This window comes from Homo sapiens, chromosome 16 (genome assembly GCF_000001405.40).
Source record: "Homo sapiens chromosome 16, GRCh38.p14 Primary Assembly".
In the NCBI taxonomy this organism is placed as follows: domain Eukaryota; kingdom Metazoa; phylum Chordata; class Mammalia; order Primates; family Hominidae; genus Homo; species Homo sapiens.
In genome coordinates, this window is record NC_000016.10 from 59088617 (window position 1) to 59097534 (window position 8918).

At 39.6% G+C, this 8918-nt stretch overlaps 1 pseudogene, besides 2 other annotated features; it reads left to right on the top strand.

The window, feature by feature from the left end:
- Window positions 221–475, top strand: RPS27P27 (ribosomal protein S27 pseudogene 27; annotated as a pseudogene).
- Window positions 7706–8206: an enhancer, noted in NCBI's record as "H3K4me1 hESC enhancer chr16:59130226-59130726 (GRCh37/hg19 assembly coordinates)". NCBI's record gives its function as "activates a minimal SCP1, AML or CMV promoter by ChIP-STARR-seq in primed H9 embryonic stem cells {active_cell/tissue: H9 hESC(primed)}" and the evidence as "EXISTENCE:reporter gene assay evidence [ECO:0000049][PMID:30033119]".
- Window positions 8207–8707: an enhancer, noted in NCBI's record as "H3K4me1 hESC enhancer chr16:59130727-59131227 (GRCh37/hg19 assembly coordinates)". NCBI's record gives its function as "activates a minimal SCP1, AML or CMV promoter by ChIP-STARR-seq in primed H9 embryonic stem cells {active_cell/tissue: H9 hESC(primed)}" and the evidence as "EXISTENCE:reporter gene assay evidence [ECO:0000049][PMID:30033119]".

An 8918-nucleotide genomic window follows, 5' to 3' on the forward strand; every position in this document is an offset into this window, starting at 1 on the left:
AAGTGGTTCTGGCATTACACTTGACACATAATAGAAAACAAATGGTGAGTAGTTGTTATGGGTTGAACTGTGTCCCCTACAAAATCCGTATGTTGAAGTCCCAACCCATAGTATCTCAGAATGTAACCATAGTTGGAAATATCGGATGCCGAGCGCAGATCGCGTGCAGCTCGCTAGCGGTGTTGGCTGAGAGGTCTAGAAGGGCTAGACTTGCTAGAGGATGACTTTGGCTAGAGATTTACTACCTCCGTCCTTGGAAGAGGAAAAGAAAAAACATAAAAAGAAACGGCTAGTGCAAAGTCCACATTCTTACTATATGCATGTAAAATGTCCAGGTTGCTACAAGATTACCACGGTTTTCAGCCATGCTCAGAGAGTGGTTCTTTGTGTAGGTTGTTTAACAGTGTTGTGCCAGCCTACAGGAGGAAAGGCCAGCCTCACAGAAGGGTATTCATTTAGAGGAAAGCAACACTAATGATCCACACAGCTTCCTGAATTCGTGTTATCTTTCAGAAAGCCTTATCGTAAGTTCCATAATTTGAATTAATCTACCAAGATAATGTAATTACATTTGGTTTTGTAAGGTATACAACAGTGATCTCCCATTTTGATGTCAGGCTTTCAATAAAGTTTTGGTTATGGGGAAAAAAAAGAAATGTCACCTTTACAGAGGCAATTAAGTTAAAACGAGGCAGGTAGGGTGGGTCCTGCTTCTAGTATGGATGTGCACAAAAGGAGGAAAGTCCATGTGAGGACGCAGTGAGAAGGCAGCCATCTGCAAGCCAAGGAGAGAGGCTTCAGGAGAATCCAAACCTACTGACACCTGGATCTTGGACTCGTAGCCTTCAGAACTGTGAGACAGTGAATTTCTGTTGTTTAAGCCGCCCAGTTCATGGTATTCTGTATGGCAGCCTTAACAGACTCATACAGTGGTCAAAAAATGATGGCTGCTATTATTAAGAAGAGTTATTCAACACTAGGCACTGCACTAAGGACTTTACATGCATTATCTTATTTCTTCATCACATAATCTTATGAATTAGATTCTATGATTCATACATATTTTGCAAAAAAAGTAACTGAGGCTTAAGGGTCTTAACTAATTCATTGCATAGCTAGCAATGTGGCAGAGCTAGGTTTTGAATGTTGGTTGTCTGATGCTGTAACTTCTGCCCTTAGGCGCTGCACTAATATTAGTATGACTTTGTGACAGTACACAAAGTTAGGATCCAAGAAAGTTAACATGGCAACACCAATAAAATGGCACATGATTTCACTCTAGGTAATAAATGTATACAATATTTATATCTTTTTTTGTTGAATTGAAAAACTCTTCCTCTTTATTACAAGGTAAAGAGATTTCATGATATTTTATTTGTTTGGTTGTGAACTACTAGGGGTATAATCCCATATAACTCAGTGGGAAGAGTAGTTGAGTACTAGAACTGGGACCAGGTCTCTTGGAAACTAAATAGAGACAAAGAACAAATAAAGGAAGCTGCCATTTGGAATTTGAAACCCTTAAATATTCAGTGCCCCATTACAGTTTGCTTGGCTCTTAACTTCGGGATGCTCTGTCATAAACACTTCAAGTCAATCTTCCGAGGAAGGTCTTACCGTCAGTGAAGAAACTTAGGTTCTGAGAGATGAAGCAACTTTTCTGAACTCACAGGTCTGGTCAGTGTTTTTTATCTCCAAAGTCAGACTGGGAGTGTGGACATACATCTTCTTGCTCCCCAGCCATGCGTGAAGAGGACGGCCGTGTTTATCCAGGGAATTAACCCTTTCTCTGTTACCATTAATTTCTACTTATTTTATGTTCACTCTTTAGAAGATATTCTGCATTTGACTGTATAGAGGAAAGTCTGAGTTCCTGGCCCCTCAAAACTTTGAACTTCAGATAACTGAAACTTGGAAAGTTTACTTTCCAGAAATAACTTATTGGAGACTAATTTGGAGAAAATAGGGAATCCCTCTTGTAATTCAAGAGCTTAATAACACCAAGATTGAATCATTTAGTGAATGCTTGCAATGTGCCAGGAACCATGAAATGCACTTTCCCGTTAAACATGAGGCATGTATTTCTCCAGCTTCTGGGAGGGTTGGCTGCTAACAGCTCAGAGCTGAGCCTCTCTCTAGGAATTTCCTTTAACCAAGTGGGTGGCCCTTATCCAGTGACTAGTTGATTAGGGTATGAAAGAAACAGTATAGCTCTAGAGAGCCATGCAGAGATCCCCCTAGAGTTGGCTGGGGCTTCTCTATGGGTTATCTTCTCCCTCTGTCCAGTCCTTGTTCCTCTAACTGCTTTCTAATACACCTCCTGCACTTGAATCTCCACCTTAAAGTCTAGTTCCTAGCAAACCTGATGTAAGTCAGAAGCCAAATAAAATTTCATCCATCCATCCATCCATCCATCCATCCATCCATCCATCCATCTGTCCATCACTCCCTTGACTTATTTACCAGATACTATTAAACACCTGTGATTTGCCAGGCAATATTCAAGGTCTTAAGGGTATAGTGGAATTCCTGCAATTCCTGAAAGCAAGATCTCTGTTCTTATAGAGTTTCTTACTGTTTCTATGTTTAAAAAGTGCTTTAAGCTAGGAGAAAGGCTTAGCACCATATCATTATTAAATGCTCTATAGTTGTTATCTTCTGATTAAATGATAAAAAAATTACCCCAGTCAGTATAAATCCTGATTTGGGTTACATCATCTCCCACCCTGAATTACTAAATAGGATCTTCCTAGGTGTTTCCTAACTAAAATCCCTTCATCTCAGTCTGCCCTGACTTTTCTCTTCTTCAAAAGCACGTCTGATAATTTAAAGCATTCTCCTTAGCTACCTAATACAATGCAGTTTTCACAGGGTGGCAAGCAGGCTCTTTATAAACTGGTTCCATTCAATTTTTTCAGCTTAAACTCTGATTACTGGTCTACTATAACCCAACTTCTTTCCATTAGACCCCACTGATACCTCTTTTCCTTCTCTGTATAGAATAATTGCTATGATCATATTATTTCCTGTTCCTGAGACTTTCTACATTATTTTCTCTTTCTGAGAGGCCACTCTGTCTCCCAGGTCATCTGCAGTGTCCCCATTAACATTTCTATTTACTAATCTTCTGGCTTGAATATCACCTTTTAAGTTTTTATTGTTAACTGTCCCCCAAATATCAACTGAACATGGTAGGACCATTTCTTTCTCTTCCATTCTCCCATGATATTTTGTGTAGCCATCCTTTGTACATGTTACCACTTTGCATTGCAGCTACTTATTTGTGTCCTTCTCCCTTAATGAACTGTTACATCCTTGAGTGCAATGACTATGCCTTGTTAATTTTTTTTTTTTCCAGATGGAGTCTTGCTCTGTCGCCCAGGCTGGAGTGCAGTGGTGCCATTTCAGCTCGCTGCAACCTCCGCCTCCCAGGTTCAAGCGATTCTCCTGCCTCAACCTGCTGAGTAGCTGGGATTACAGGCACGTGCCACCATGCCTAGCTAATTTTTGTATTCTTAGTAGAGATGGGGTTTCACCATGTTGGCCAGACTGGTCTCGAATTCTTGACCTCATGATCCACCTGTCTTGACCTCCCAAAGTGCTGAGATTACAGGCGTGAGCCACCGCGCCCAGCGTTAATTTTTATATCTGTAGAACTTTACAATATGTATACAGCAAAAACTGGATATATTGCAGTTGAATGCATTTCTCATTCATCCAATTCACTATTGGAGATACAACATTAGCATTTCATTCCAATGAATTTCTTTTAAACAATGAAAGTAATATTTTCATATTAGTTCCGCTAGGGTAAATTTCAACTGAGGAGAAATGGATACACGTTGGTGTTAGCTCTTTTCCTTTATTTAAATGATCTATTTCTTTGTTTTGGCTGCTATTTACCATTGTCTTGTTGCAATGACTTAGTTCATAATGCAAATCTCTTCAGTCAATAGATACGCTTGAAATAGTTAGCTTGTGGTATGCTGTTTGAATAATTTTTCATCACATTCAGCCGTCCATCTGCATACCAAGCACTGTGGAAGGGATGTGGGGGCTTCTGTTGGGAGAGGGGAACGACAGGAGAAGAAAAATTATAATGAAGACAAGGAGAAGGAAAATCTGGAAATCTTTTCCAGTTTGGCAGTGGCAATCATGGGTACCATAAGTAGTAACAGTTTAATTTTAATTTTTAAGACTGGTTGTTTTCCCTGAAGACCTGCAGATATGCAATAGGTACTGACTGGTATGTAAAAGTAGAAATGGCATTAGCTTTATCCCTTGACTCCTTCCCTTCTACTTCCCCTTTCACTCATAATTAGGCACCTTGTGGATCATTAAATCTACTGTGATCCCCCTGTCTCCCCACATTGCACCTGCCTCTCCATGTCCTCCCCTACATCATGCCCCTGAAATGCTCCTATTTAGTGTCCAAATGTCACCTCTTCCATCAGCCTTCTCAGACTCCCCACAAAGCAGAACCATTTGTTTTTTTATTTTGTAATCTTATGTTAGTTTGTCTGTCCCAATATTTTTATTCAGGTAACAACATCTAATTATTTGTTTGTATGCCTGTCTCTCCTTTACAATCATTGGCTCCAAAGAGAGGATGTCTTACCTTGGCATTCTTAGCAGTTCCATAGGAATGGAATAAAACGGTTGCTAGGTATATATGCACAGAATAAATGATTAAATGATTCAGAAGAAATACTGAGGGTTTCTTTTTTGCATATTACCTAACACAAGTCTTCTAAAATGTCCAACCATTTCAACAATAATTAGTCTCATTGAAGAATGTTATGAAATGGTTAGTACATGGAAAAAGCACATTATAATTAGAAATACCATATATGTTTTTCTGTTTGTTTCTCTTCTGCCAAGAAATAAAAGCATTTTTATAATTTAAGCCAGAAAACTTTGTTTTTGGATGTAAGTGGATATCATTAGATGTGGCATAAACCTTTTCATATGTTGAGCATTTCAGAAACTAGAGCTTATATGTAACTTAAAATGTGAATGATGAAAACTTCATGGAATCTAATTCTTCATGGAAATAAATGGTCCAAGTGTGCACAGTAGTCAGAATGTGAGGATTGCATCAGATAGTATGTGTTATGTGATATATATTATATTTTGTGTATATTTAATGAGTTTTGTGATTGATCATTATTGTCCCACCATGTCCATTACTTCTTTAAAAATATTGGCCAATGGCTAGTTTAACCTTGTGTATACCTGCTCATTCTAAAATCTTTCTCTTGTTACTTTTCAGTATTATGAGTTTTTTATTTTGAGGAGGAAAGAACATGTTGATCAAACTTCTACATAATCTCCTCCCCTGAACCATTTGCAAAATATAAAATGTATGTCAGTGGCCCATATCAGCTATAAATGTTGAATGATACGGGTGAATTAGCTTTCCCTTAAACAAAAGTTCTGTACTCACCAATTGTACTATTTAAAATTCAGTTTCCAGACTAGCTTACAAAAGTTCTGTACTCACCAATTGTACTATTTACAATTCAGTTTCCAGACTAGCTTCTGCTAAAGTGGAAAACCATTTCTGTCTAATCTCTTTCACTGAGTTAAAAAACAAACAGAACTTTCTGAATATTTTAAATGGTGGCTTTGAAGAATAAGGTCTGGTTATTGAAACAGAAATCCCCTAGAACTCACCAGAACATAGGGCACTGAAACTGGAAGAAATGTAATTCTGATGTATGGTTGTACTTTGAGGCAAGCTGAACTCAAGAGGTGTTCGGGGAATTGTAAACCAAAACGTTCCGTCTTGAGTATTCAGTCAGGGTTAATGGAAGGAAAAGTGTCAGAGTCCCAGCTAAGGCAGCTGGTCCCTAAGGTCTGCTGTAGGTTACAGTGTCATCTGCTTGGGTCTCTTAGGAGGTATGCAATTGACAGGGTGATAAGAAGCAAACTGGAGAGAGAAACAAGCTGTAGACTAAGAAACAGCACCAACAAGCTGATTTGGCTCAAATGCAATACTCTATCTTGAAAATATCACGATACTATCACTGGTGTGTGTGTGTATGTGTGTGAGTGAGAGAGTAAGATTATGTATTTACAATTTTGTTTTCCCAATAGACAGTGAATTCTTGGAGGGCCAACTTTTGTATCTTTAGTGACAAGGACAATGGGACACACATGTCCCTACTCTCTGACACCTCCCAAACATGCAGATATGTAGGAAAAGAATTAGTTTCTTGCCTTTAATCCTACATTGATTTGACAGGCACTCAACTAATTATTGCAGAAGAAACACAAGGAGGGAGGAAGGAAGGAAACTTTATTCTGAATCTTGACTTTTCCAATAATCTTGACTTAATCTTGCCTTTTTGTTGGGCAAGTCAATTCTTGTATCTCAGATTCTTCATCTGCAAAATGGTTAGGCAAGGCTAGATCCATTTCATAAGCATTTTCCAGAATTAATATTTTATGGTTCCATTGAAATCTATAAGTATGAAAAGAAATAAAATTATAAAATGAATTTGCTGGGGAAGTACTTTATCCAATCCAATGTTGAGGAAGTAAGTGGTACTAATATCTGCTGCCATTTTCAAGCTTACTTATTATCAGTCTTTAGTGAAACACATGGGCTGCCCTGAAGCTCATGTCACTGGGCTGTCAGAGGGGAGTGAAACTGAGGGGGACAATTCAGAGAAAGTTACTTCTTCGGTTTCACAGAAAACTCAAATGATGTCCAGCCTAGGTACCTTCCTTTTCAACAATGCCAGCACTTTTTAGGGGATAAAGAACTGCTTATGGAGGGCTTTCAGAATCACAGAGAATAGTCATGTGACACAGGGCAAATTTTTAAGAACAGGTCCTGGTTTTAATATTTCTGAAAAAATGTCTAAAGTTTGTATAAGCTGTAGGAACTATACAGAAGCTGAGAATATTGATGATGATGATTATTATTATTATTATAGATGTTCTTTATTATTATAATTACTTCATCTTTTAAGTGGAGATGCCCAACCCATTATCATTATTCTCTGACAGAAGCTCATAAAAAATTTTACTAATGCATTATTAATACATTTTAAAATCTTGTGATAAACTCAATTTCATGTAGGAAGAGATGATGCTAAAGTAGATAGCACAGGAATTTTGGGACCATATATACATATGAAATAAACACCAACTCAATCTTTTATTGTATATGACATGTTGGCAAATCAATAAATATCTCTGTCCCTATGTGTTTGTTAATACAAATAAAAGAAAAAATACACACACAGAAAATAAATATCTATGAACCTCAGTTTACTCTGTGTAAGTTTGTCTTCGTATTTCAATATCAGTGCATCTTGGAGGATTAACCAAGAAAACACATGGTCACCTTCTAGTAGAGTGTTGAGAACAAAGCAGACATTAGGTTTTGCACCCCAAATTTATTGAAATACCCATTATTTCCCAACAATAAAATAAGAAAACACAATCTCTGTCTTTATGAATATTACTGTTTAGTTAATTCCTTTAAACTTCCCATGTTTCTGAATTAACAGAGAACATATACTCAAGGGAATATGTATTAGGATGATGAATATTGACAAGGGTAGCATGGACTTGCCAGTCAAGAACAATGGTCTCTGTTCTAGGGTACAGGCAAAAAAAAAAAAAAAAAAATCCAATGGCAAAAAGAACCCAATGCCAAAAGGGGCTAACATGATTGAAGAGCAGCCTAAGTCAATCTTCATACTTTGGTGGCAAAAATTATATTTGAAAATAACAAAGTTAATTATTTGAATATAGCCTGTTACTAGACTCAGTTATTTAAAGATCACAGGGGGTGGAGCCAAGATGGCCAAATAGGAACAGCTCCAGTCTACAGCTCCCAGCATGAGCGACGCAGAAGACGGGTGATTTCTGCATTTTCAACTGAGGTACTGGGTTCATCTCACTGGGGAGTGTCGGACAGGGGGTGCAGGGCAGTGGGCACAGTGCACCGAGCATGAGCCAAAGCAGGGCGAGGCATTGCCTCACCTGGGAAGCACAAGGGATCAGGGAATTCCCTTTCCTAGTCAAAGAAAGGGGTGACAGACGGCACCTGGAAAATTGGGTCACTCCCACCCTAATACTGCGCTTTTCCAATGGTCTTAGCAAACGGCACACCAGGAGATTATATCTCGCGCCTGGCTCAGAAGGTCCTACGCCCATAGAGCCTTGCTCATTGCTAGCACAGCAGTCTGAGATCAAACTGCAAGGAGGCAGTGAGGCTGGAGGAGGGGCGCCCGCCATTGCCGAGGCTTGAGTAGGTAAACAAAGCAGCTGGAAGCTCGAACTGGGTGGAGCCCACTGCAGCTCAAGGAGGCCTGCCTGCCTCTGTGGACTCCACCTCTTGGGGCAGGGCATAGCTAAACAGAAGGCAGCAGAAACCTCTGCAGACTTAAATGTCCCTGTCTGACAGCTTTGAAGAGAGTACTGGTTCTCCCAGCATGCAGCTTGAGATCTGAGAATGGACAGACTCCCTCCTCAAGTGGGTCCCTGACCCCCGAGTAGCCTAACTGGGAGGCATCCCCCAGTAGGGGCAATCTGACACCTCACACAGCTGGGTACTCCTCTGAGACAATACTTCCAGAGGAACGATTAGGCAGCAACATTTGCTGTTCACCACTATCTGCTGTTCTGCAGCCTCTGCTGCTGACACCCAAGCAAACGGTCTGGAGTGGACCTCCAGCAAACTCCAACAGACCTGCAGCTGAGGGTCCTGTCTGTTAGCAGGAAAACTAACAAACAGAAAGGACATCCACACCAAAACCCCATCGGTACGTCACCATCATCAAAGACCAAAGGTAGTTAAAACCACAAAGATAGGAAAAAAACAGAGCAGAAAAACTGAAAACTCTAAAAATCAGAGCGCCTCTCCTCCTCCAAAGGAATGCAGCTCCTCACCAGCAATG